The sequence below is a fragment of the Homo sapiens genome, chromosome 17 (genome assembly GCF_000001405.40).
Source record: "Homo sapiens chromosome 17, GRCh38.p14 Primary Assembly".
NCBI classification, from domain to species: Eukaryota; Metazoa; Chordata; class Mammalia; order Primates; family Hominidae; genus Homo; species Homo sapiens.
Genome location: NC_000017.11, coordinates 39,395,649 through 39,423,161, shown reverse-complemented (window position 1 = coordinate 39,423,161; position 27,513 = coordinate 39,395,649). Strand labels below are relative to the sequence as shown.

The 27,513-nt window shown below is 46.1% G+C and overlaps 2 protein-coding genes across 9 annotated transcripts in view, besides 6 other annotated features; both read left to right on the top strand.

The window, feature by feature from the left end:
• Positions 1-18,877, top strand: part of MED1 (mediator complex subunit 1) — a 46,979-nt gene extending 28,102 nt beyond the window's left edge. For 3 of the 4 annotated variants that reach the window (NM_004774.4, XM_047436314.1, XM_047436315.1), the window contains 4 exons: positions 3,244-3,445; positions 7,823-7,918; positions 8,031-8,136; positions 12,441-18,877. In NM_004774.4, the coding sequence (NP_004765.2) occupies positions 3,244-3,445; positions 7,823-7,918; positions 8,031-8,136; positions 12,441-15,687 (3,651 nt within the window). In that variant the 3' untranslated portion in view covers positions 15,688-18,877. The remainder of the gene's footprint in view (positions 1-3,243; positions 3,446-7,822; positions 7,919-8,030; positions 8,137-12,440) is intronic. The other variant, XM_006721957.3, reaches the window with a different exon arrangement.
• Positions 20,387-20,551: a silencer, noted in NCBI's record as "fragment chr17:37558864-37559028 (GRCh37/hg19 assembly coordinates)". NCBI's record gives its function as "represses an EF-1alpha promoter that drives an FKBP-Casp9 reporter gene in an ReSE screen in HepG2 liver carcinoma cells {active_cell/tissue: HepG2}" and the evidence as "EXISTENCE:reporter gene assay evidence [ECO:0000049][PMID:32094911]".
• Positions 20,517-20,906: a silencer, noted in NCBI's record as "silent region_8456". NCBI's record gives its function as "represses an Ori minimal core promoter by ATAC-STARR-seq in GM12878 lymphoblastoid cells {active_cell/tissue: GM12878}" and the evidence as "EXISTENCE:reporter gene assay evidence [ECO:0000049][PMID:35858748]".
• Positions 20,606-27,513, top strand: part of FBXL20 (F-box and leucine rich repeat protein 20) — a 149,894-nt gene continuing 142,986 nt past the window's right edge. For 2 of the 5 annotated variants that reach the window (NM_001370209.3, NM_001370208.3), the window contains exon 1: positions 20,606-20,989. In NM_001370209.3, coding sequence (NP_001357138.2) covers positions 20,942-20,989 — 48 coding nt within the window. In that variant the 5' untranslated portion in view covers positions 20,606-20,941. Of the gene's footprint in view, positions 20,990-21,535; positions 21,802-27,513 lie in introns of those variants that run through there. The other 3 variants (NM_001184906.2, NM_032875.3, XM_047436952.1) reach the window with 2 other exon arrangements.
• Positions 21,157-21,236: a silencer, noted in NCBI's record as "silent region_8455". NCBI's record gives its function as "represses an Ori minimal core promoter by ATAC-STARR-seq in GM12878 lymphoblastoid cells {active_cell/tissue: GM12878}" and the evidence as "EXISTENCE:reporter gene assay evidence [ECO:0000049][PMID:35858748]".
• Positions 21,267-21,466: a silencer, noted in NCBI's record as "silent region_8454". NCBI's record gives its function as "represses an Ori minimal core promoter by ATAC-STARR-seq in GM12878 lymphoblastoid cells {active_cell/tissue: GM12878}" and the evidence as "EXISTENCE:reporter gene assay evidence [ECO:0000049][PMID:35858748]".
• Positions 21,497-21,926: a silencer, noted in NCBI's record as "silent region_8453". NCBI's record gives its function as "represses an Ori minimal core promoter by ATAC-STARR-seq in GM12878 lymphoblastoid cells {active_cell/tissue: GM12878}" and the evidence as "EXISTENCE:reporter gene assay evidence [ECO:0000049][PMID:35858748]".
• Positions 21,991-22,283: a silencer, noted in NCBI's record as "fragment chr17:37557132-37557424 (GRCh37/hg19 assembly coordinates)". NCBI's record gives its function as "represses an EF-1alpha promoter that drives an FKBP-Casp9 reporter gene in an ReSE screen in HepG2 liver carcinoma cells {active_cell/tissue: HepG2}" and the evidence as "EXISTENCE:reporter gene assay evidence [ECO:0000049][PMID:32094911]".

Genomic DNA, 27,513 nt, shown 5'->3' with positions numbered 1-27,513 from the left:
TGGGCGCGGTGGCTCACACCTGTAATCCCCGCACTTTAGGAGGCCAAGGCAGGCGGATCGTGAGGTCAGGAGTTCGAGACCAGCCTGGCCAACATAGGGAAACCCTGTCTCTACTAAAAATACAAAAAATTAGCCGTGTGTGGTGGCGGGTGCCTGTAATCCCAGCTACTCGGGAGGCTGAGGGAGGAGAATGGCTTGAATCTGGGAGGCAGAGGTTGCAGTGAGACAAGATTGTGCCATTGTGCTCCAGCCTGGGTGACAGAGCGAGACTCTGTCTCAAAAAAAAAAAAAAAAAAAAGAAATCTCGGAAATGTATTGAAGTAAAAGGGCATGAGCTTCCATTAGGAAACAACAATGTACAGTTCTTTGTTGAAATTTTGGGTGATTGGCCAGGTGCAGTGGCTCACACCTGTAATCCCAGGAATTTGGGAGGCCAAGGCGGGTGGTCACTAGAGATCAGGAGTTTGAGACCAGCCTGGATAACATGGTGAAACCCCGTCTCTACTAAAAATATAAAAATTAGCTGGGTGTGGTGGAACATGCCTGTAATCCCAGCTACTTGGGAGGCTGAGGCAGGAGAATCACTTAACCCGGGAGGCAGAGGTTGCAGTGAGCCAAGATTGCGCCACTGCACTCCAGCCTGGGCAACAAGAGCGAAATTCCGTCTCAAAAAAAAAAAAAAAAAAAAAAAACGAGGCTGGGCGTGGTGTTTCACATGTCTAATCCCAGCAGCACTTTGGGAGGCCGAGGCAGGTGGATCACGAGGTCAAGAGATCGAGAGCATCCTGGCCAACAGGGTGAAACCCCATCTCTACTAAAAAAATACAAAAATTAGCTGGGTGTGGTGTCATGCACCTGTAGTCCCAGCTACTCGGGAGGCTGAGGCAGGAGAATTGCTTGAACCCGGGAGACGAAGGTTGCAGTGAGCCAAGATCGCACCACTGCGCTTCAGCCTGGCAACAGAGCAAGACTCCGTCTCAAAAAAATAAAAAAGAAAAAGAAATTTTGGGTGATAGACTTTTTTTTTTTTTTTTGAGACGGAGTCTTGCTGTGTCGCCCAGGCTGGAGTGCAGTGGTGAGATCTCAGCTCACTGCAAACTCCACCTCCCGGGTTCATGCCATTCTCCTGCCTCAGCCTCCTGAGTAGCTGGGACTACAGGCGCCTGCCACCATGCCTGGCTAATTTTTTGTATTTTTAGTAGAGACGGGATTTCACCATGTTAGCCAGGATGGTCTCGATCTCCTGACCTCGTGATCCGCCCGCCTCGGCCTCCCAAAGTGCTAGGATTGCAGGCGTGAGCCACCTTGCCTGGCGGGGTGACAGACTCTTAATGGTATTTTGAACTTTTAGAATATCATAATTAGGTGTTATAAATTCTTACTGTTTAATTCTTTCAAGTGCCATGAGCTTAGAATCTGGAAAGATCCTGAAAGTACTTACAGAGAGGAAAATGCTGGAAGCAGTAATTAAGAGGCTGGGCACAGTGACTCACACCTGTAATCCCAGCACTTTGGGAGGCCAAGGCAAGGCAGATCACTTGAGCTCAGGAGTTCAATACCAGCCTGGGCAACGTGGCAAAATCCTCTCTTTTTTATTTTTTTATTTTTTGAGATGGAGTCTAGCTAGCTCTGTTGCCAGGCTGGAGTGCAGTGGCGCGATCTCGGCTCACTGCAACCTCCGCCTCCCAGGTTCAAGTGATTCTCCTGCCTCAGCCTCCTGAGTAGCTGGGACTGTAGGTGTGCACCACCATGCCCAGATAATTTTTGTATTTTTAGTAGAGACGGGGTTTTACCATGTTGGCCAGATTGGTCTTTATCTCTTGACCTTGAGATCCACCCTACTCCGCCTCCCAAAGTGCTGGGATTACAGGCGCAAGCCACCTTGCCTGTCCTTTTCTTTTCTTTTTTCTTTTTTTTTTTTTTGCTCTTGGTGCCCAGGCTGGAGTGCAGTGGCACGATCTCGGCTGACTGCAACCTCTGCCTCCCAGGTTCAAGCGATTCTTCTGCCTCATCCTCCGGCAAAATCCTGTCTCTACAAAAAAAAAATACAAAAATTAGGCTGATGTGGCCGGGAGCGGTGGCTCACGCCTGTAATCCTAGCACTTTGGGAGGCCGAGGCGGGCAGATCATGAGGTCAGGAGATCGAGACCATCCTGGCCAACATGGTGAAACCCCGTCACTACTAAAAAACACAAAAAATTAGCTGGGTGTGGTGGCGGGCGCCTGTAGTCCCAGCTACTTGGGAGGCTGAGGCAGGAGAATGGCGTGAACCCGGGAGGTGGAGCTTGCAGCGAGCAGAGATCGTGCCACTGCACTCCAGCCTGAGCTACAAGAGCAAGACTCTGTCTCAAAAAAAAAAAAAAAAAAAAATAGGCACATGTGGTTGTTCATGCCTGTAGTCTCAGCTGCTCGGGAAGCTGAGGGGCTTCATCCTGGGAGGTAGAGATTGCAATGAGCCAAGATTGCACAATTGTACTCCATCCTGGGTAATGGGAGTGAAACCCTGTCTCAAAAGTAATAATAATAATAATAAGGGAACGTTCCAAAACCTCATCTGGACTTGTATTTATCTGAATCTTTTACAATAGACTAAAGTAGTGGTTACCAAATTCTGGCTGCATTATTATTATATAGGTGTTTTATTAAAAATAGAGAATTTGCAGCCGGGCGTGGTTGTTTATTCCTGTAATCCCAGCACTTTGGGAGGCCCAGGTGGGTGGATCACGAAGTCAGGAGATGGAGACAATCCTGGCTAACACAGTGAAACACTGTCTCTACTAAAAATACAAAAAAAATTAGCCGGGCGTGGTGGCGGGTGCCTATAGTCGCAGCTACTCAGGAGGCTGAGGCAGGAGAATGGCATGAACTCGGGAGGCGGAGCTTGCAGTGAGCCGAGATCGCACCACTGCACTCCAGCCTGGGCAACAGAGGGAGACTCTGTCTCAAAAAAAAAAAAAAAAAAAAGAGATTTTGCATTTATGGTTTAGGAACCTCTTTAATACAGATTTCTGAGGTAGTTTTTATGTTAGCTAGGTTAGGAAATCACTAGCATAGTGCATTTACTAAAAAGACATCTTTTCAGCCTAATTAGTAATTGATTGACATTTATAATATCAGCTGATGAAAACATTCACTGTGGAGACTTTTCTGCACTTTTTTGAGTAGTAGGTTTTTTCAGGATACTTTGTGGTTGGAATACAATAGGTAACTAAATAGCACTCGTTAACTGTTCTTTTTGCCCAGGCTCTTCCTGGTCAGCAGCACTGCTATTTCCTCAACAAGGATGCTCCTCTTCCAGATGGCCGAAGTCTACAGGGAACCCTTGTTAGCAAAATCACCTTTCAGCACCCTGGCCGAGTTCCTCTTATCCTAAATCTGATCAGACACCAAGTGGCCTATAACACCCTCATTGGAAGCTGTGTCAAAAGAACTATTCTGAAAGAAGGTACTGCCTTTCCTTTGATATGCTTACTGGAAGATGGAAACTTACTTCTCCAGTGGTTCTTTAATTGGTGGCCCATCAGAATCACCTGTAGAACTTAAAAAAAGTTTTTTTTTTTTCATATTTGGCATAAAAATCAAGCAAATTAGCTGCACGTGGTGGTGCACGACTGTAGTCCCACCTACTTGGGAGGCTGAGGAAGGAGAATCGCTTGAACCCGGGAGGCGGGGGTTGCAGTGAGCTTAGATCATGCCATTGCACTCCAGCCTGGGTGACAGAGCAAGACTCTGTCTCAAAAAAAAAAAAAAATTCAAACATGTGGAGCTTTTAACACTACAGATGATGGCCAGGTGTGGTGGCTCACGCCTGTAATCCCAGCACTTTGGGAGGCCAAGGTGGGCAAATCACTTGAGCCCATGATTTGAGATCGGTCTGAGGAACATGGCAAAACCCCATCTCTAGAAAAAAGTAGCCAGTTGTGGTGGTGTGCGCCTGTGGTCCCAGCTACTCGGGATCCTGAGGCAGGAGGATTGTCGCTTGAGCCTGGGAGGCAGAGATTGCAGTGAGCTCAGATTGCACCACTGCACTCCAACCTGGGTAACACAGTAAGACCCTGAATCAAAAACAAAACACCAGGCTGAGTGCAGTGGTTTGTGCCTGTAATCCCAGCACTTTGGGAGGCCGAGGTGGGCAGATCACAAGGTCAAGAGATTGAGACCATCCTGGCCAACTAGTGAAACCCAGTCTCTACTAAAAATACAAAAATTAGCTGGGTGTGGTGGTATACACCTGTAGTCCCAGCTACTTGGGAGTCTTAGGCAGGAGAATCACTTGAACCCAGGAGGCGGAGGTTGCACTGAGCTTAGATCATGCCACTGTACTCCAGTGTGGGTGACAGAATGAGACTCCCTCTCAAAAAAAAAAAAAAAATCACAGATGCTGTGTTTCCACACGAAGATGAACTGAATGATAATCTCAGTGGGAAGAGTTGGGAATCTAAACTCCACAAATCATTTTGATGGAACCAGTCTGTAGACTAGCATTTGGAGACCACTGCTTTTTGCAATGTTCTTAACTCTTTTTCTGAACATAGTAATGTAACTGGGTATTTTAGGGGCTGTACCCTGTAGCAGATATACATAAGGTAGAACTTGGAATGCTGTAGTGAGAGAGGCTTTTTTTTTTTTGAGACAGGGTCTCACTCTGTTGCCCAGACTGAACCACAGTGGCATGATAACAGCTTTCTGCTGCCTCTACCTCCTTGGCTCAAGCGATCCTCCTGCCTTAGCCTCCCAAGTAGGTGGGGCTATAGGCATGTACCACCAAGCCTGGCTAATTTTTTCTGTAGAGACAGGGTCTCTCTATGTTGCCCATGTTCGTCTGTAACTCCTGGGCTGAAGCGATCCTCTTGACTAGGCCTCCCAAGGTGCTGGGATAATAGGTGCCACCGTGCTTGGCCAGTTTTAGGTTAAATTTTAGGTTGTTAGGAGAGTGCTTCCCAGGTTTAGTTCTGAGTATGTTTTCTCTCCCCATTGTTTGGAGAACTTAATCTTACAGCTTTAAGAAGGTTTAGCTCTTTTTTCTCTCAGGATTCTGGAATGCTGATGAATTTTTTTTTTTTTTTTTTTTTTTTTGAGACGGAGTCTCACTCTGTTCCCCAGGCTGGAGTGCAGTGGCATGATCTTGGCCCACTGCAACCTCCGCCTCCCAGGTTCAAGCGATTCTCCTGCGTCAGCCTCTGGCTAATTGTTTAAATTTTTTTTAGTAGAGATGGGGTTTCACCATCATGGCCAGGCTGGTCTCGAACTCCTGACCTCGTGATCCACCCTCCTAGGCCTCCCAAAGTGCTGGGATTACAGGCGTGAGCCATGGCACCCGGCGTAAATGCTGATGATTTTCAAAGACAGTTGGCTATTAGAAGCTTTGCTGTAAATTTTGGCTGTTCTAGCTAACCATAGTTAATTTTAAAAATCTTAAGTCAGAAGCGCTCTGTTGATAGATATGTGTCAGTGCCAGTGATAGACAATAAGAAATAGGGAAGGCAAATCAGATCTCTTTTATTTTTATTTATTTATTTTTTGTTTGTTTTTTGAGACGGAGTCTCGCTCTGTCGCCCAGGCTGGAGTGCAGTGGCGCAATTTCGGCTCACTGCAAGCTCTGCCTCCTGAGTTCACGTCATTCTCCTGCCTCAGCCTCCCGAGTAGCTGGGACTACAGGCACCCGCCATCACGCCCGGCTAATTTTTTTGTATTTTTAGTAGAAACGGGGTGTCACCGTGTTGGCCAGGATGGTCTCGATCTCCTGACCTCGTGATCTGCCCGCCTGAGCCTCCCAGAGTGCTGGGATTACAGGCATGAGCCACCACGCCTGGCCTTTTTGTTTTTTTTTTTGAGACGGAGTCTTGCTTGGTCACCCAGGCTGGAGTGCAGTGGTGTGATCTTCACTCACTGCAACCTTTGCCTCCTGGGTTCAAGCAATTCTCTTGCTTCAGCCTCCCAAGTAGCTCGGATTACAAGTATCCACCACCATGCCAGGCTAATCTTTGTAGTTTTACCAGAGACGGGGTTTCGTCGAGTTGGCCAGGCTGGTTTTGAACTCGTGACCTCAGTGGTCTGCCTGCCTCGGCCTCCCAAAGTGCTGGGATTACATGCGTGAGCCACCATGCCTGGACTTTTTTTTCTTGATACAGGGTCTTGCTCTGTTATCGAGATTGGAAAGCAGTGGTACAGTCATAGTTCACTTTGGCCTCAAACTCCTGGGCTCAAGTGATACTCTTCCCTCAGGCTCCTCAAGTCGCTGGACTATAGGCATGCACCTCTACATCTAGTCAAATTTTAAAGAAATTTATATTATACTTTTTATTTCAGTGTACATATTTATACAGCAACATTTTTTTTGTAGAGATGGTGTCTTGCCATGTTGTATAGGATAGTCTTGAGCTCCTGGCCTCAGGCATTCCTCCCACCTCAGTGTCCCAAAGTGTTGGGATTACAGGCATGAGCCACTGTGCTGGGCCAGGAGATTCTTCTCATGGAAATAAAAATTGCTTTAGAAATGAGAAATTTTTAGTAGTTGGAGTAATAACATAGAGCATATATGTTCAAAGTTGTGGCACTTCTGTTTCATGTGTTAAAATGCCTTAAGAAGTCTCCAGATAGCTTTAGGGCATTTAAAAATGAGTTTTCATAAGGCAGTTATGGAGCTAATCCTATAGAGAGGCATGCTTTTTACAAAGAAAGTATATGATCCTTGTGTCTAGGCTGCTAGCACATCTGGCATAAGAACATATGATGATGGCTAGATATATGTGGAATAAATACATTATTTTAGATTATAGCCTCTATATCTCTGCTTGCCAAACTATGGGCTGCACATCTAACAGCTGCAAACACTTGATAGAAAGCAGAGTTTATGGCAGTGGTTCTGGATATCTGCTTATCAAGTAGAATGAGACACTCGGCCACTTTTATTTTCAGAATTCACTTTTACATTTTAGGGATTAAGTTTCTTCATCTTGGAAAATTGAAAGTCTAGCTACTTTTGTTCTGGAGAAATTTATAACAAACTGGCAGGTTCCTTGGAATCTGATTCCTTCTGTCATCTGTGGATGACATATAGTAGGTTTTGTATGTGAAAAAAGTGTGCGATTTAGTTTCCAAGGAGGGAGAGAGAATTTCAGTCTGTACATTTAAGGAATGTTATTTGTGTGAAGTCTTTTTTTTTTTTTTTTGAGACAGAGTGTTGCTCTGTTTCCCAGGCTGGGGTTCAGTGACATGATCTCGGCTCACTGCAACCCTTGCCTCCCAGGTTGAAACGATTCTCCTGTCTCAGCCCTCTGAGTAGCTAGGATTACAGGTGTGCGCCACCACACCCGGCTAATTTTTTTTTTTTTTTTTTTTTTTTTTGAGATGGAGTCTTACTCTTGCCCAGGCTGGAGTGCAGTGGCACGATCTCAGCTCACTACAACCTCCGCCTCCTAGGTTCAAGTGATTCTCCTGCCTCAGCCTCCCGAGTAGCTGGGATTACAGGCATGTGCCACCACGCCCGACTAATTTTGTATTTTGTATTTTTAGTAGAGATGGGGTTTGTCCATGTTGGTCAGGCTTGTCTCGAACTCCTGACCTCAGGTGATGAGCCCACCTCAGCCTCTCAAAGTTCTGGGATTACAGGCCTGAGCCACTGCATCCGGCCTCTTTTTTTTATTTTTTAGTGGAGTTGGGGTTTCGCCATGTTGGCCAGGCTGGTCTTGAACTCCTGACCTCAGGTAATCCACCTGCCTTGGCCTCCCAAACTGCTGGGATTACAGGCGTGAGCCACCGTGCCCAGCCTGTGTGAAGTCTTATATTTGGTTGTTTTATGATCTTTCTCTTTGCCTTTTAGATTCTCCTGGGCTTCTCCAATTTGAAGTGTGTCCTCTCTCAGAGTCTCGTTTCAGCGTATCTTTTCAGCACCCTGTGAATGACTCCCTGGTGTGTGGTGAGTTGTGTGGGTGGCTAACACCTCTCATGGAGCGGTTTGGTCCCTATGTCTTTTTTGGAAAAGTCAGAAGCTAAATCTAAAACAATTTCCTATGTATTTTGTCTTTCAGTGGTAATGGATGTGCAGGACTCAACACATGTGAGCTGTAAACTCTACAAAGGGCTGTCGGATGCACTGATCTGCACAGATGACTTCATTGCCAAAGTTGTTCAAAGGTAGCCTTGGCCCTTTTTCATCTGAGTCCCATTTAGAGATGTATAAAGAATGTTGTTGAGTAGGGCGCGGTGGCTCACGCCTGTAATCCCCACACTTTGGGAGGCCGAGGCAGGCGGATCACGAGGTCAGAAGATTGAGACCATTCTGGCTAACATGGTGAACCCCCATCTCTACTAAAAATACAAAAATTAGTCAGGCGCGATGGCGGGCACATGTAGTACCAGCTACTCGGGAGGCTGATGCAGAAGAATAACTTGAACCTGGGAGGTGGAGGTTGCAGTGAGCCAAGATTGCGCCATTGCACTCCAGCCTGACGACAGAGCAAGACTCCGTGTTTTTGTTTTTGTTGTAAAAAAAAAAAAAAAAAAAAAAAAAAAAAAAAAAAAAAAAGGCCGGGCCTGGTGGCTCACGCCTGTAATCCCAGCACTTTGGGAGGTGAAGGCGGGTGGATCACGAGGTCAGGAGATTGAGACCATCCTGGCTAACACAGTGAAACCCCGTCTCTATTAAAAATACAAAAAATTAGCCCGGCATGGTGGCGGGCGCCTGTAGTCCCAGCTACTAGGGAGGCTGAGGCAGGAGAATGGCATGATCCCGGGAGGTGGAGCTTGCAGTGAGCCGAGATCATGCCACTGTACTCCAGCCTGGGCAACAGAGTGAGACTCTGTCTCAAAAAAAAAAAAAAATGTTGTTTTCAGAATTAGCATGAATTTCAAATAAAGGAGCAATTTAGTTATTGCTTTGATTTCACCCTTCTCTGCTTTCGGATTCAAAGTAATCTAAGCTTTGTTTTTTTTTTTTGAGATGGAGTCTTGCTCTGATGCCCAGATTGTACAGTGGTACAATCTTGGCTCACTGCAACCTCTGCCTCCCGGGTTCAAGTGATTCTCCTGCCTCACCCTCCTGAGTAGCTAGGATTACAGGCATGTGCTACCACACCTGACTCATTTTTGTATTTTTAGTAGAGACGGGGTTTCACCATGTTGGCCAGGCTGGTCTCGAACTCCTGACCTCAGGTGATCTGCCTGCCTTGGCCTCCCAAAGTTCTGGGATTACAGGCGTGAGCCACTGCACACAGCCAGCTTTGTTTTTTTTTTTTTTTTTTTTTTTTTAATGATATTACTATGAGAGTAATGGGAAGTAAAGTAGGTAACTTCAGGCCTGGAATTATGGTACTTTAAGGCAGGAGAAAGCCATAATAAAATACAGATATTTTTCTTACCTATCCTGTGTGCCAATTCTTCATAGATGTGACATTTTTATCTTTTTATTCTTTTATTTTTTTATTTTGAGACAAGAGTCTCACTCTGTTACCCAGGCTGGAGTGCAGTGGTGTGATGACGGCTCACTGAAGTGTTGACCTCCGAGGTTCAGGTTATCCTTCCACCTAGACCTCCTGAGTAGCTGGTACTGCAGGTGTGAGCCACTGTGTCTGCCTGAGCAGATTTCACAACTTAAATGTTAGGCTGGGCGTGGCAGTGCATGCCTGTAATCCAGCACTTTGGGAGGCCAAGGCGGGCAGATTACTTGAGGTCAGGAGTTCGAGACCAGCCTGGCCAACATGTTGAGATGTCATCTCTATAAAAATACGAAAATTAACCGAGCATGGTGGTATCCGTCTGTCATTCTAGCTACTTGAGAGGCTGAGGCAGGAGAATCACTTGAACCTGGGAATCGGAGGTTGCGGTGAGCCAAGATTGCGCCACTGTTCTTTAGCCTGGGTGATAGAGTGAGATTCTGTCTCAAAACAAACAAACTAACTAAATAAATAAAAATATAAAAATTAGCCAGGTGTGGTGGCAGGTGCCTATAATCCCAGCTACTCAGGAGGCTGAGGCGGGAGAATTGCTTGAACCTGGGAGGCGGAGGCTGCAGTGAGCCGAGATTGTGCCACTCCACTCCAGCCTGGTAGACAGAGCAAGATGCCATCTCAAAACAAACAAAAAGCCAACTTAATTGTTACGTGATAGTTAAGCCAGTATGCATCCCAGAACCATTAATATGTAATTTTTTGAGATTTTTCTACAGCTGGGTCTGGCAGCCTATTTTTGTAAATAAATTTTATTGGAACACTGCTGTTCATTTACATGTCTGTGGCAGATTTCTAGTTAATATTGCAGAGTAGGTGAACAGGAAACAAGACCTACAAAGCCTAACGGATTACTATATGGCCTTATAAGAAAAATTTGCGGCCGGGTGCGGGGGTCACCCCTGTAATCCTAGCACTTTGGGAGGCTGAGGCGGGTAAATCACGAGGTCAGGAGTTCAAGACCAGCCTGGCCAAGATGGTGAAACCCCATCTCTACTAAAAATACAAAAATTAGCTGGGCGTGGTGGCGGGCTTCTGTAATCCCAGCTACTTGGGAGGCTGAGGCAGAGAATTGCTTGAACCTGGGAGGCGGAAGTTGCGGTAAGCCAAGATCATGCCACTGCACTCCAGCCTGGATAACAGAGCGAGACTCTGTCTCAAAGAAAAAAAAAAAAAAAAAAAGAAAAATTTGCTGGCTGGGTGTGGTGGCTCACGCCTATAATCCCAGCACTTTGGGAGGTGGGTGGATCGCCTGAGGTCAGGAGTTCGAGACCAGCCTGACTGACATGGAGAAACCCTGTCTCTACTAAAAATACAGAATTAGCTGGGCGTGATGGCGCATGGCTGTAATCCCAGCTACTCGAGAGGCTGAGGCAGGAGAATCACTTGAACCTGGGAGGTGGAGGTTGCAGTGAGCCAAGATCGCGCCATTGCACTCCAGCCTGGGCAACAAGAGCAAAACTCCGTCTCAAAAAAAAAAAAAAAAAGAAAAAAAAATTTGCTGACATATGTTCTAGAGCAAAACGTTTGCAAACTGAGGTTTATGAATATAAATTTATCTGGAAAATAAAAAGTGCTTTGCTTTAAAATAAACAAGATTTATAACAGAAATAGCACTTTTTATAATAGTGTAGGTTTGGGATGATCTAAGTCATTAAGGTTTAGTACTTAATGGGTCAAGAGATTTTTCTTTTCTTTTTTTTTTTTTTGAGATGGAGTCTTGTACTGTCACCTGGGCTGGAGTGCCATGGCACAATCTCAGCTCACTGCAACCTCTGCTTCCCGGGTTCAAGCAATTCTGCCTCAGCCTCCCAAGTAGTTGGGATTACAGGCACCTGCCACCATGCCCAGCTAATTTTTTGTATTTTTTCTTTTTTTTAGTAGAGATGGGGTTTCACTATGTTGGCCAGGCTGGTCTCAAAACTCCTGACCCTGTGATCCACCCGCCTCGGCCTCCCAAAGTGCTGGGATTACAGGCGTGAGCCACTCTGACCGGCGGAGATTTTTCTAATGGTTCCTTAATTAAAATAAATTATGTATCCCTGTAATTACCATATGAAGCCCCCCAGAGGACGACATTTTCTTTTTTCCTTTGAAATGAAGTCTTGCACTGTCACCAAGGCTGGCGTGCAATGGGACGATCTTGGCTCGCTGCGATCTCTGCCTCCTGGGTTCAAGTGATTCTCCTGTCTACCCTTCCTGAGTAGCTGGGATTACAGCTGTGCACCGCCACGGCTGGCTAATTTTTTGTATTTTTAGTAGAGACAGGGTTTCACCCCGCTGGCCAGGCTGGTCTCAAACTCCTGACCCGAAGTGATCCACCCTCCTCGGCCTTCCAAAGTGCTGGGATTGCAGGAGTGAGCCACCGCGCCCGACCTAAGGAGGCATTTTTTTTTTTGAGACGGAGTCTCACTCTGTTGCCAAGCTGGAGTGCAGTGGTGTGATCTCAGTGCAATGCAACCTCCGCCTCCCTTGTTCAAGCAATTCTCCTGCCTCAACCTCCCGAGTAGCTGGGATTACAGGCACGCGCCACCACGCCCAGCTAATTTTTGTATTTTTAGTAGAGACGGGGTTTCACCATGTTGGCCAGGATGGTGTCGATCTCCTGACCTCATGTTCCAGCCGCCTTGGCCTCCCAAAGTGCTGGGATTACAGGCGTGAGCCACTGTGCCCGGCCCCTAAGGAGGCATTTTCTTACTGAGTTCCATTATTACCAATTTTCTTTTAGTTAAGTTTGAAATTCAATTATTTGGACTCTTGTTTATAGTTTGCTTTTGTTGTGTGATTCATAAGAGGTTGACAATTTTATGTTGGGTTAGATTTTTAGAATGTATTTACCCAAAGCTCTGGTATTTGATAGAACTATTTTTGTCTTACAGATTATTTGCCCTACCTGAAAACTGCTTACTGCAAAACTCTGATGTTATATCTAAATCTCAGGTCTCATTCAGCAGCTATTGCAATGTTAACTTTGTTTTCTTCTTTATTTTGCAGATGTATGTCCATCCCTGTGACGATGAGGGCTATTCGGAGGAAAGCTGAAACCATTCAAGCCGACACCCCAGCACTGTCCCTCATTGCAGAGACAGTTGAAGACATGGTGAAAAAGAACCTGCCCCCGGCTAGCAGCCCAGGGTATGGCATGACCACAGGCAACAACCCAATGAGTGGTACCACTACACCAACCAACACCTTTCCGGGGGGTCCCATTACCACCTTGTTTAATATGAGCATGAGCATCAAAGATCGGCATGAGTCGGTGGGCCATGGGGAGGACTTCAGCAAGGTGTCTCAGAACCCAATTCTTACCAGTTTGTTGCAAATCACAGGGAACGGGGGGTCTACCATTGGCTCGAGTCCGACCCCTCCTCATCACACGCCGCCACCTGTCTCTTCGATGGCCGGCAACACCAAGAACCACCCGATGCTCATGAACCTTCTTAAAGATAATCCTGCCCAGGATTTCTCAACCCTTTATGGAAGCAGCCCTTTAGAAAGGCAGAACTCCTCTTCCGGCTCACCCCGCATGGAAATATGCTCGGGGAGCAACAAGACCAAGAAAAAGAAGTCATCAAGATTACCACCTGAGAAACCAAAGCACCAGACTGAAGATGACTTTCAGAGGGAGCTATTTTCAATGGATGTTGACTCACAGAACCCTATCTTTGATGTCAACATGACAGCTGACACGCTGGATACGCCACACATCACTCCAGCTCCAAGCCAGTGTAGCACTCCCCCAACAACTTACCCACAACCAGTACCTCACCCCCAACCCAGTATTCAAAGGATGGTCCGACTATCCAGTTCAGACAGCATTGGCCCAGATGTAACTGACATCCTTTCAGACATTGCAGAAGAAGCTTCTAAACTTCCCAGCACTAGTGATGATTGCCCAGCCATTGGCACCCCTCTTCGAGATTCTTCAAGCTCTGGGCATTCTCAGAGTACCCTGTTTGACTCTGATGTCTTTCAAACTAACAATAATGAAAATCCATACACTGATCCAGCTGATCTTATTGCAGATGCTGCTGGAAGCCCCAGTAGTGACTCTCCTACCAATCATTTTTTTCATGATGGAGTAGATTTCAATCCTGATTTATTGAACAGCCAGAGCCAAAGTGGTTTTGGAGAAGAATATTTTGATGAAAGCAGCCAAAGTGGGGATAATGATGATTTCAAAGGATTTGCATCTCAGGCACTAAATACTTTGGGGGTGCCAATGCTTGGAGGTGATAATGGGGAGACCAAGTTTAAGGGCAATAACCAAGCCGACACAGTTGATTTCAGTATTATTTCAGTAGCCGGCAAAGCTTTAGCTCCTGCAGATCTTATGGAGCATCACAGTGGTAGTCAGGGTCCTTTACTGACCACTGGGGACTTAGGGAAAGAAAAGACTCAAAAGAGGGTAAAGGAAGGCAATGGCACCAGTAATAGTACTCTCTCGGGGCCCGGATTAGACAGCAAACCAGGGAAGCGCAGTCGGACCCCTTCTAATGATGGGAAAAGCAAAGATAAGCCTCCAAAGCGGAAGAAGGCAGACACTGAGGGAAAGTCTCCATCTCATAGTTCTTCTAACAGACCTTTTACCCCACCTACCAGTACAGGTGGATCTAAATCGCCAGGCAGTGCAGGAAGATCTCAGACTCCCCCAGGTGTTGCCACACCACCCATTCCCAAAATCACTATTCAGATTCCTAAGGGAACAGTGATGGTGGGCAAGCCTTCCTCTCACAGTCAGTATACCAGCAGTGGTTCTGTGTCTTCCTCAGGCAGCAAAAGCCACCATAGCCATTCTTCCTCCTCTTCCTCATCTGCTTCCACCTCAGGGAAGATGAAAAGCAGTAAATCAGAAGGTTCATCAAGTTCCAAGTTAAGTAGCAGTATGTATTCTAGCCAGGGGTCTTCTGGATCTAGCCAGTCCAAAAATTCATCCCAGTCTGGGGGGAAGCCAGGCTCCTCTCCCATAACCAAGCATGGACTGAGCAGTGGCTCTAGCAGCACCAAGATGAAACCTCAAGGAAAGCCATCATCACTTATGAATCCTTCTTTAAGTAAACCAAACATATCCCCTTCTCATTCAAGGCCACCTGGAGGCTCTGACAAGCTTGCCTCTCCAATGAAGCCTGTTCCTGGAACTCCTCCATCCTCTAAAGCCAAGTCCCCTATCAGTTCAGGTTCTGGTGGTTCTCATATGTCTGGAACTAGTTCAAGCTCTGGCATGAAGTCATCTTCAGGGTTAGGATCCTCAGGCTCGTTGTCCCAGAAAACTCCCCCATCATCTAATTCCTGTACGGCATCTTCCTCCTCCTTTTCCTCAAGTGGCTCTTCCATGTCATCCTCTCAGAACCAGCATGGGAGTTCTAAAGGAAAATCTCCCAGCAGAAACAAGAAGCCGTCCTTGACAGCTGTCATAGATAAACTGAAGCATGGGGTTGTCACCAGTGGCCCTGGGGGTGAAGACCCACTGGACGGCCAGATGGGGGTGAGCACAAATTCTTCCAGCCATCCTATGTCCTCCAAACATAACATGTCAGGAGGAGAGTTTCAGGGCAAGCGTGAGAAAAGTGATAAAGACAAATCAAAGGTTTCCACCTCCGGGAGTTCAGTGGATTCTTCTAAGAAGACCTCAGAGTCAAAAAATGTGGGGAGCACAGGTGTGGCAAAAATTATCATCAGTAAGCATGATGGAGGCTCCCCTAGCATTAAAGCCAAAGTGACTTTGCAGAAACCTGGGGAAAGTAGTGGAGAAGGGCTTAGGCCTCAAATGGCTTCTTCTAAAAACTATGGCTCTCCACTCATCAGTGGTTCCACTCCAAAGCATGAGCGTGGCTCTCCCAGCCATAGTAAGTCACCAGCATATACCCCCCAGAATCTGGACAGTGAAAGTGAGTCAGGCTCCTCCATAGCAGAGAAATCTTATCAGAATAGTCCCAGCTCAGACGATGGTATCCGACCACTTCCAGAATACAGCACAGAGAAACATAAGAAGCACAAAAAGGAAAAGAAGAAAGTAAAAGACAAAGATAGGGACCGAGACCGGGACAAAGACCGAGACAAGAAAAAATCTCATAGCATCAAGCCAGAGAGTTGGTCCAAATCACCCATCTCTTCAGACCAGTCCTTGTCTATGACAAGTAACACAATCTTATCTGCAGACAGACCCTCAAGGCTCAGCCCAGACTTTATGATTGGGGAGGAAGATGATGATCTTATGGATGTGGCCCTGATTGGGAATTAGGAACCTTATTTCCTAAAAGAAACAGGGCCAGAGGAAAAAAAACTATTGATAAGTTTATAGGCAAACCACCATAAGGGGTGAGTCAGACAGGTCTGATTTGGTTAAGAATCCTAAATGGCATGGCTTTGACATCAAGCTGGGTGAATTAGAAAGGCATATCCAGACCCTATTAAAGAAACCACAGGGTTTGATTCTGGTTACCAGGAAGTCTTCTTTGTTCCTGTGCCAGAAAGAAAGTTAAAATACTTGCTTAAGAAAGGGAGGGGGGTGGGAGGGGTGTAGGGAGAGGGAAGGGAGGGAAACAGTTTTGTGGGAAATATTCATATATATTTTCTTCTCCCTTTTTCCATTTTTAGGCCATGTTTTAAACTCATTTTAGTGCATGTATATGAAGGGCTGGGCAGAAAATGAAAAAGCAATACATTCCTTGATGCATTTGCATGAAGGTTGTTCAACTTTGTTTGAGGTAGTTGTCCGTTTGAGTCATGGGCAAATGAAGGACTTTGGTCATTTTGGACACTTAAGTAATGTTTGGTGTCTGTTTCTTAGGAGTGACTGGGGGAGGGAAGATTATTTTAGCTATTTATTTGTAATATTTTAACCCTTTATCTGTTTGTTTTTATACAGTGTTTCGTTCTAAATCTATGAGGTTTAGGGTTCAAAATGATGGAAGGCCGAAGAGCAAGGCTTATATGGTGGTAGGGAGCTTATAGCTTGTGCTAATACTGTAGCATCAAGCCCAAGCAAATTAGTCAGAGCCCGCCTTTAGAGTTAAATATAATAGAAAAACCAAAATGATATTTTTATTTTAGGAGGGTTTAAATAGGGTTCAGAGATCATAGGAATATTAGGAGTTACCTCTCTGTGGAGGTATTGACTTGTAATCTCATTTTCCTTTCAAAAAAAAAAAAAAAAGCTAAGGTGGCTTGTTGGGATGTAAACATGTTTTCAGATGCAGTAAGGTTTAGTGTAGGACAGCCTTCCTGACCCAGTGGCATGAAAACCATTACAGGATTAATAGTTCTCCTACTTCCACAATGTGCCAAAAGTCTGCATCCCAGCATTTTGTTTGCAGGAGAACTGATGCCATTCCTAAGAGCTGGACTCACTGTTTCTCTTCATCACAAGGAGAAGGAGTCCAAACTTTAATCACTCCACTGTATGCTCCCTGAGATAAAACAGTAAAAAATCCGCAGCCATAGTTCACTTAAAACAATTTCAAGCTCACTTTTGAAGTAATGGGGGCCTGGAATGCTAGGTGAGCATGAAGATAAACCCTTGCTACTATGTAGCAACCCAATTGGACCTTTTTGGAGAAATAGGTCTGAGTCTGGATTCTGGGGGACATCAATAAGAGCCCTTCACATAAAAATATAGAAATCCAGGAGACTGTTTCGAGTGCAACAGAAGTTCTCAGTATTTGGAGGGTCCTCTCAAAAATTCTGCGGCCTTACTTTGATATTGACACCTGCACTGTGCCATTCCTGATTATTCCATTCAGGATCTGTATCAGCGGGATGGGGCATGGTCCCCAGCACAACTCTTCTGGGTTAAAAAAAAAAAGCCAGGTGATTCCTTTGTGTGTTATGTCGTAAGTGGAGTGACTTCATCATATATGGAAGAAGATTTCTATATTCAGCTTTTTCTGCAGGTTGGAGTCAGCATAGAGTTGGAAAATCAGCTTTGGCTTTCTTTCCTGTCTCATTTCCTCTAGTGTTCTCCTTTTTATTGTCATCAGCTCTCAACAACTCTGCCACTTTTGTGTCCCAAGGTAATAAGATGTAGGAAACAAAACATTGTAAAGTGGAGCAAGAAAAGTTATCAATTAACCACATCAGAGTCAAATGTCTTGGGTGACACTAAGGAGGATATGGGCAGGTGATACCAGAGTGCTTTATCTTGTGATGTTGATACAGTAGCAGCCTCTCAGACATTCAGCCAGGTTGGATTTCTCATGAGTTTGTCACCTAGTTTTGAATCCTATCCCGTTGGTTTCTGCAGGAAAAAAAAAAAAATTTATGTGGTTTTTAAAATTTGTTCTGAGTGGGGAGAATCTTAGGGGGAATGTACTGAATAGTATCATGGGCTCAGCTCCCCCATGCAGGGCCAACAAATACCAAAATGAGTAAACTGGGAAGCTTTTCTCTCTTTCTGTCTTCATCCCAGATCAAAGAATCCCGAGTTAGGATCTGGATGAAGGATAAGCCCCTGAATTGTCGATGGGCTCACCCCCACACTGACCCAGCATCTGAACTTGCTTAACAGGGAGCCGGGGCTAAACTGCTTCACCCTGCCTGAGAACCAGGGAGCACTGCATTTCTCCACAGGGTGGAGGAGAAGAGGCAGAATAAACCAAGCCTGGGACACCTCCCTCCTGTCTAGGTGTACTCATTCTTCTGTTTCAAAAGAAGGCAAGGACATGAAGTCAACTTCTACCTATCTTCTGCTGCTGGTGTCTTATGTATTCTCAGTTTGACCTGATTCCTCTTCTGTCTTTTGACTTAACATTAGGGGTTCTTGGTCATAACCTGCTCTGATGTACATAAAGATTTCAGGTTCAATATCAATGTGTCTTAAAACAGAAGTATTTTAGCGGGTGGGGGGTGGGGTGGTGGGGACAAACAACGCAGGATATAATTGCCAAAACCAGGCTTGAGGTTGGTGACTCTTGAAAGATTTTCTTTCTTCAGGCCTAGATCAGAAAATTAAGTGCAGCAATATCATGAATTCTCAGAAGCCCTTTCAGGGAGCCAGTGAGTCATACAGTATCCACAGTTGAGTCACTTAAAGATGTCAGTATACGAAACATTATTCACAATCCTTGGGCAATCTCATTTTTTTTTCCTTCTCCCCTCCTCCCCTGCCCCCCATACATTTCTATCCTTGAGTTAGTTTTGGAGGGGCAGGAAGTACTTAACATCTCAGAAGCTAGATTGGGAAACATGCTCAGCTATAAGAACTGAGCTTTAAATTTTGAGTTTAAAAATGTACATCAGGAGCAGCTGGGGAGGGTCTTTTTTTAAAAAAATCTTTCAAATTTGGTTTTCTGTGCATATGGCCGTTTTGTAAATACTTTGGGGTTTTTCATTTTTTTGAAAGTAGATGAAATCTGTTGTGGGATTTTTTTCCCGAAACATTACAAAATAACCTGTTTATTTACATGCAAATAAACTTCTTTGATAAAAAGTAATTTGCCTGTGTGTAATAAAATTTTAGCCTTTGAATACTTTTTTCATTTGTTCAAAACTCCAGTCAATTTTAAAGAGTCAGTCAACAGTAAATGTCTTCCCTGAGTACTACTTGAAATGGGTCAACTGGTAACTGACGGAGCTGTGAAACTTGTCTTCATTCTATTACTCTGTAGGCCAGTTTTTCTACCCTTTGCCATTTTTTTTTTTTTCGAGATGGAGTCTCGCTGTGTCGCCCAGGCTGGAGTGCAGTGGCACAATCTTGGCTCACTACAACCTCCGCCTCCCGGGTTCAAGCAATTCTGCCTCAGCCTCCCGAGTAGCTGGGATTAGAGGCGCCCACCACCACGCCCAGCTAATTTTTGTATTTTTAGCAGAGACGGGGTTTCACCATGTTGGCCAGGATGGTCTCAATCTCCTGACCTTATGATCCGCCCGCCTTGGCCTCCCAAAGTGCTGGGATTACAGGCGTGAGCCACCGCGCCCGGCCATCCCTTTGCCATTGTTACTCACCAAATGCATCAGTTTTTGCTGGGAGAAAACAGCTCTTAGATGAGACAGAATGAAAAGGCTTTTTTATTCCACTGGCTGAAGTCAAGCAAAAACATTAAAAGTACCTGGGACAGGAGGAGAAGACAGACCTGGGTTTGTGGGCCTGAGAATGAGTTTCTGAAGCTAGGTCCCTGGTTTTAGGAAGCCCCCTCTAGGATTAAAAAAAGCCGGGGGGTGGCGCGCTGGTCGTGGTGGCTCACATGAGGCCTGTAATCTCAGCACTGGGAGGAGGCTGGAGGATCACTTGGGCCCAGGAATTGCAGACTAGTCTGGGCAACATAGGGAGACCCCGTCTCTACAAAAGAAAAAAGATCCCAGCACTCTGGGAGGCCGAGGCGGGCGGATCACTTGTAGTCAGGTGTTCCTGACCAGCCTGGCCAACATGGCGAAACCTCGTCTCTACTTAGCCAGGTGCGGCGCGGCGCGCCTGTAATCCCAGCTACTTGGGAGGCTTGAACCCGGGAGGCAGAGGTTGCAGTAAACCGAGATCGTGCCACTGCACTCCAGCCTAAGCGACAGAGTTGAACCTCTGTCTCAAAAAAAAAAAAAAAAAAAAAAAGAAAAAGTTTGTACAGTGCTTTAAGAGTTGGGTAATATGTCCTCCAGCTAAAATATACCTGTTCTTAAAGATCTGCCGCACTTGTTGCTCTTGTTAATTTCTTAGACGCATAACAAGTCAGTCGCTAAAACCACTAATTAAAAGGGGTGTGAGGAAGACCAACTCATAACTGCTTTGGAAGCATACAATTAGCAGTGCTGCTGCTCCTGCCAGGTGTGCTGGAATTTATTATACAGTTTCTAATAGTTCACTCTTAGGACATAATTTTGTAGTTTGTTGCTCATAGAAGGGGCAACAAAACTACAAAATCCTGTGTTATTCCTTCGTGGAAATTCGGTCATAAATTCTGAGACCTTGAAGGCCAGAGTTGTTAAAACATAATATAATATGATGACACAGATCAGCTTCTATACAAGGAGCCCGGGAGTCTGATGAAGTGTTTCCATCGGGAAAACGCCCCCGCCTACTCGCTCACACACGCTTGTTTCTCCCGCCAAAGTGACGTCAGGCCGAAGCTCTCACCAAACAGCGCCCTGATTGGCGGACAGGCAGGCGCTGCAGCCCATTGGGCGCCGGCGGCGGCCGAGCAAGGAAAACCAAAGGCTCTTCGGTCTCGCCCGCCCCACCCCCACGGACGCGCGCCCCGACCCCGGCCAAAGGAAGGGTTGCCCGGCTCCAGCCCTGCACCCCCGACCCCCGGCCTCAGGTGCAGCTCCGCAGCCATCCCCGGACCAGGGCGGGCACTTGGCCTGTTGCTCAGCGCAACCACCCTCGCCCTCCCGAGCCATGCACAGGGAGACAAGCGTCCGGCCCCGGCCCCCCAGGCCTCCCTGCAGCACCCCGTAATGTAATGCACTGGGGCGGGGGAGGCGGGGGAGGCGGCGGCGGCGGCAACCGCGGAGGCGCGGCGGCAGCCGCACTGCCCCAATCTAGACACATCCAGAAGAGGAGGAAAATGGCTCCGAGCAGGGACCGCCTGCTGCACTTTGGGTTCAAGGCGACAGTGAGTGACAGGGGAAGGGAGCTGGGTGGCCGGGAAGGATGCGGGTGCCTTACAGGATCCTGGGGAACAAGTGACGAGGGGCGACGGGCGCGGGCAGAGGCTGAGGTTCTGTGCAGGCAGGTGCGTGCCTGTTTGCCCGCGGAGGGAGGAGAGGGGGACACGGGGCAGAAGAGGGGCCCCCGCGCAGAGTGCGGTACTGCTCTACTCTCCCTCGCTGGTCCGCGAGCACGCGCGCACTCGCATCCGCCCCACAGACCCCCTTTTCCACACGCACAGGCACTTCCCTGCCTCGCCTTCTCCCGATGGGCTCGTCTGCCTCGGAGGCGCAGGGGGTCGTGCCGCCGCCGCGCACCGGCTGCTCCCGGGAGCGCCGTCAGGGCCGGCCCCGTGTGGGGGAGGGGTGGTCTCGCGCCGCCGCCGCCGCGCTCCTCCCCTCCCGCCCCTCCCCCTCCCGGGCGCTCCGAGGCCCGGGCGGCTCTGTCCAATGAGCAGCGGCGTTGCTGGCAGGTGGGGAGTGTTTTTGTTTTGGGTTGAAGTTGAGGCTGAGGAGAGAGCCGAGCTAGCGACGAGCAGTCGTTGCGGCCGCCGGCGCCGCGGGAGGTGGTGGAGGCCTAGCCGGAGCCGAGAGGTCTCTTGTTCCCGTCCCACGGTCCCGGCGTCACCCCTCCGGCGCCCAGTCCCCGTCCCGGAACTCCCGGGCCTGTCCTGGGCCCCCGGTCTGTGCACTCCGCTCGCCGCAGCGCCCGGCCCGGGCCGCACCCGCCGGCCCCATGAGGAGGGACGTGAACGGAGTGACCAAGAGCAGGTTTGAGGTGTGAGCTTGGGGGGCTCGGGCGGCGTGAGGAGGGCGGGTCGCGCGCTCTAATCCCAAAACGTCCGCTCCGCACGGAGCCTCCTCCCTGGCAGGCGCCGTCACCCACCCACTGGCGGGGCTGCCAGACTCCGCTCCCCTTTCTTGCGACCCAGAAGCCCAGCGCAGCCCGGTGCCCCCAGTCCCCTCGCCGGTTCGCCCCCCGTCTCTTCCCACCAGCGGGCCCCCGCGGGGGATTAGCTCGGGCGCCCTAATTCCACCCTCCTCCAGGATCGCTCAGCTTTCCATTCTTTACACAACCCTTGGCTTGCCTCCTTCCACCCAGCCATCACGGCTCCGGTCCACCAGAGCCTGCTGCTTTTCTCGCTGCTACCTTCATGACGCGTTTGTTGTCTGTTGAGGGAGGAAATTAGGGGATGGGTACCATTTCTCCGAGTTTGAGACCTTGGTGAAACTAGGGAAGTGGGGACGGTAGTTTGGGATGATAGAGGCTACCACGGGTTTTCGGTGCTGTGTTTGGTTTGGGTATTGTTCTGATACTTCCTCTGCTTTCCCGTTTAGTCTGTACTTCTGTAGCTCATTGTTCCTTGGGAACCCTTGGATGTCTACATGCTTTGAGATTGGGACGAAAGTTCAGCAAATCCATTCCGGTCTGTCTTTCAGGAACTTTTTCTCCTCTAGCGAGGGAGGTTTACTGTCCTGGAATTGAGGAGTGGACGGTCTTGAAAGCGTCTTTAGAGAGTAGTCATCTTGCAAGGAAGAGATTCCTTTGGGAAGTGAAATATTGTAACTACTGATGAATTACAGTAGTATAACAATATACTGGAAGGTTCCTTGAGGGTCAAGAGAAAGAAACTTCTACAGGAAGAGTAAATGTCACCTGGTCTTTTCTGGCAGAGAACCAGGCTGACCTGGGATCACTCACAGCTCAGTGGACAATCTCACTCGGTGTTTTTCTTCATCTCCATTTGAGAGATGAAATTGTAAGACGGCGAGACAAAAGTTTAAGAAACTCGACAACTAGGTTCAGGGTGTGAAAACTTTTAAGGGTTGTCAGTTTAATCTATTCTTTGATTTCTTATTATGCGAACTGGGAAATAATTTGAATTGATCCACGAAGATCAAGATAGGAAGTGTTTTGGGTGCAGTTTAAGTTCAGAGCTTCAGTGTTACTGTTGCACTTCAGGAGTGGAGAAAATCAAAGAATTGGCCTTCTTAGAGTTTTAGTATTTAACTTGATCACTAGAAGAAAATGTTATGGAATATATTATTTGGTGTTTAATAGGACATTGGATGGCCCTAATGTACAGAGCCCCAATAAAGTTAATTTATGATGGTTTCGTATTCAGTAGTACCGTAAAAACCCAGAATGTCACTAAAATTGCTGAATAGACGTTCAGCAGTTAACAGGAATCTTGAAAGGCAGTTCCAGATACTGAAGATTTGAGTCGGGGACAGTCTTTTGCCTGTGGAATTAGCTCTTTATCAGTTTGCTGTTCATTTTAGATTGAATAATTTTTGGAAAGTATTCTCTTGTATGTGGTGTAAAATTACATTGCTATTTTGTATTTTTATAATTATCTTATACTTTAATTTACAATCTCTGTAGGGGTGGCATACTATAATAAAGTAATAAGGAAATTTGTTGCTGTATTAAGAGGTTTCTTTTTAACTTGTAGCTGATGTAGCTGGCAACGAAATCTTTCTAAATATGATCTGAGAAGGTAAAAAAAAGAATAAGGTGGGGAGTCCTTCTTGGACGGTTTCATGATTAAATAAGTGTTTGTTTATAAACTAAAAGCTATTCACTTAATATGATGTGAAGTGTTCCATGCCGGAATACAGATGAGAATGGCTAGAAATGATATGTGTTAATGAAGTTCATTGAGTACTTCTTAAAACCATTTACCTCTTTATTGACCTAATTTACAAGGACTGAGACAATTAGTAATTGGCTTCTTAGGAAGTAGTAAATAAATTTATTGCTTATTTGTTGAAAATATTTTAAATATTTACTTTCAATAAAAGATACGTAAATAAAGCAGATCTAAACATTTACATCAAATGATATTTTAAATCCTCAAGATTACAGTCTGCTTCTTAAAGAACTGATAATTTTACAACTGTAAGCAGATAGCAGATCTCATTGAGAATTTTTGTGGATGCATGAAATCTTTATATCACATAATAGCTAATTTCAAATTGTGGCTACGTAAGGTTTATTTTTCTTGGAGAAGATAACTGAAGCTCTATGATTTTCAGATAGTTGATTCATTGAAATCCTTTTGTAGGTATGCTTTTATATGTTGTAACTGGAGGCCACACACCTTAAATCTCCCACTCTGGGTTAGAGCTATAGAAAAAAAATTTTTTTAATTTAAAACCAAGGGGCCGGGCGAGGTGGCTCATGCCTGTAATCCCAGCACTTTGGGAGGCCGAGGTGGGTGGATCACGAGGTCAGGAGTTCAAGACCAGCCTGACCAACCTGGTGAAACCCGGTCTCTACTAAAAATACAAAAATTAGCCGGGCGTGGTAGTGGGCACCTGTAATTCCAGCTACTCAGGAGGCTGAGGCAGGAGAATCACTTGAACCCAGGAGGCGGAGGTTGTATTGAGCCGAGATTGTGCCATTTTACTCCAGCCTGGGCGACAGAGCGAGAGATTCCGTCTCCAAAAAAAAAACAAAAAACAACGAGGGTGAGTACCTGTTAGCCAGATGTGTAGCATCCTGTGGAATAGCCAAAGTAGATGACTACTGAATAAAGAATCTCTATTTAAGAGATCAAGAGATGTGAAAATTCATGTTTTTCTTGCTGTGTCACCATGGCATTAAATGTATACAGTAATAACCCTTGTAGGTCAACATAGTATGTGCTGAATTGTGTTAATCAATTAAAACTTACCATTCAGATATTTTAATTATGTTATTTATGGTAAACTTTGCAGCAAATTTTAGTAATTGTCTTTCAAATTTAACGATGGTTATTGAATACTTCCTGCATGACAGACACTGAGCCAGATGTTTTACCTCAGTTACCTCTAGCTTTTTGTTGTTGTTGTTGTTTTGTTGCTTTTTTTCTTTGAGATGAAATCTTGCCCTTGTCCCCAGGCTGGAGTGCAATGGTGCGATCTCGGCTCACTGCAACCACTTCCCAGGTTTTAAGCGATTCTACTGCCTCAGCCTCCCGAGTAGCTGGGATTACAGGCGCCTGCCACCATGCCCGGCTAATTTTTGTATTTTTAGTAGAGACGGGGTTTCACCATGTTGGCCAGGCTGGTCTCGAGCTCCTGACCTCGTGATCCAACCCCCCCCCCCCCCCCGCCCGCCGGCCTCCCAAAGTGCTGGGATTACAGGCGTGAGCCACCGCACCCGGCTAGTTACCTCTAGTTTTACGATTCTGTTTTACACTTGAGGAAAGTGAAGGCCTGAGAGGTTAAGTAAGGTGTTCAAATTGCACACCTAGTAAGTGGGGGAACCAGGATTCCAATCTGCATTTTTTTTTTTTGACTCCACTGTCATCCTGCTTTTTTTTTTAGCATGACTAGCAAAAAGTCTATAAAATTTGTGGAAAAGAGCTTTTCCAAAGTTCATCCATTTTATTTTATTTTGTATTTGCTACTGCTGGGCTTGAGCAATCCTTTCGCCGGCCTCCCAAAGTGTTAGAATTACAGGTGTGATTACCACACCTGACTGCCTTCATTTTAAGTGCCATAACTGACATTATCTTAACACTTAGTGAGATTAATGTTTAAATATCTAGACTAGCCCTTGAATCTAAGCTTAGATTTGCTTCAGTTAAGCCTCTCCACTTTGTCATGCTCTTAGTAGCTTCTTTATGAGGATGTAGTACTGTTGGAGAAAAATTCTGTCTTAATGGGTTTATTAAAAAGCCTAACATTAAAAAACAATCATAGTGGTAACATTAACTGACATTCAGATACCATTTTACAGTTTAAACAGTGCCTGGAGATAAGAACCCATAAGTTAGAAAGTGATATGCTCCAATTTCGGTATTTTGAATCCATGTTCATTATTGTTTTTCATTATACGTCACTGCCTTTCGTATAAATCTGTAATATTATGTGCAACCTGTAACCCTAGCATGTAATATTTGTTTGCCTACTTGCTTCATTTTATCCAAAGTAACAAAAATCTGGCTGGGCATGGTGGCTCACGCCTGTAATCACAGCACTTTGGGAGGCCAAAGCGGGTGGATCATCTGAGCTCGGGAGTTCGAGACCAGCCTGGCCAACATGGTGAAACCCTGTCTCTACTACAAAAATTACCTGGACCTGTCTCAAACAAACAAAAAACAGAATAACAAAAATCTTAAAATGCAGCATGGCAAAAAGAGCATACTACATTGTGAGTGGAGAGACCTGGATTTTTTTTTTTTTTTTTTTTGAGCCGGAGTCTTGCTCTGTCGCCCAGGCTGGAGTGCAGTGACGTGATGTCAGCTCACTGCAAACTCCGCCTCCCAGGTTCACGCCATTCTCCTGCCGCAGCCTCCCGAGTAGCTGGGACTACAGGTGCCTGCTGCCATGCCCGGCTAATTTTTTTTGTATTTTTAGTAGAGACGGGGTTTCACCGTGTTAGCCAGGATGGTCTCAATCTCCTAACCTCGCGATCCGCCCACCTCAGCCTCCCAAAGTGCTGGGATTACAGGTGTGAGCCACCACGCCCGGCAAGACCTGCATATTAATCTTAATTTTTTGCTAGCAACTAACTGTAACTTTGGTCATTTCTTTCTTTTTTTTTTTTTTTGAGACGGAGTTTCGCTTTTGTCGCCCAGGTCAGAGTGCAATGGTGCGATCTTGGCTCACTGCAACCTCCGCCTCCTGGGTTCAAGCGATTCTCCTGCCTCAGCCTCCTGAGTAGCTGGGATTACAGGCACCCGCCACCATGCACAACTAATTTTTGTATTTTTAGTAGAGATGGGGTTTTGCCATATTGGCCAGACTGGTCTTGAACTACTGACCTCAGGTGATACACCCATCTCAGCCTCCCGAAGTGCTGGGATTACAGATGTGAGCCACGACACCCGGCCTGGTCATTCTTTTTACTTTTCTAGCTTGGTGATTTCCCTCTTCTGTAAAGCGAGGGAGATAGAATCAATCACTAAGGTACCTTTTTTCTAGAATCCTATGCATCTGTGCTTTTTGAATAAAAGCAGAGGATCATATTTCCCTGGCCATTTCTTCTGAAACAGCCACTATAATATTTAAGTTTGTAGGCTCAGTCTCAGAATACACCGTTAAGGCTGAAATAAAGACCTTTTTTTTTTTTTTTCGAAAAGTCTTTTAATACATGAAACACCTACTAAAACAAATGAATTAAAAAAAAAAAAAAACCCCACAAAACTCTTGGCTTTGAATGACTGTGGTTCTGCCCTTTCCTGGTTCTCCTCATGCCTCCGGGATGAGTTGCAGTCTCTTTCATGGAACGCTCTCTTCTGCTAACCTGGTAATGAGTGTTGCCTCTCAGGATCCAGCCTTTGGCCACTGCTTTCTAATGCCAGAGCTTCTCTCTACATCATTTCACTCATACTCCTGCTTTTCACAATGACAAAGTGACTGAATAAAGACCTTTTTATCCATTAAAACTTTTAGCATCTAATTTAAAGAACATTGTGCATAGAAAATAACCATATTTCCAAATTGGTGCATGTGAAAATGGTATATATTTTTCTAGTGGGTGACAGTAATTTGTTTC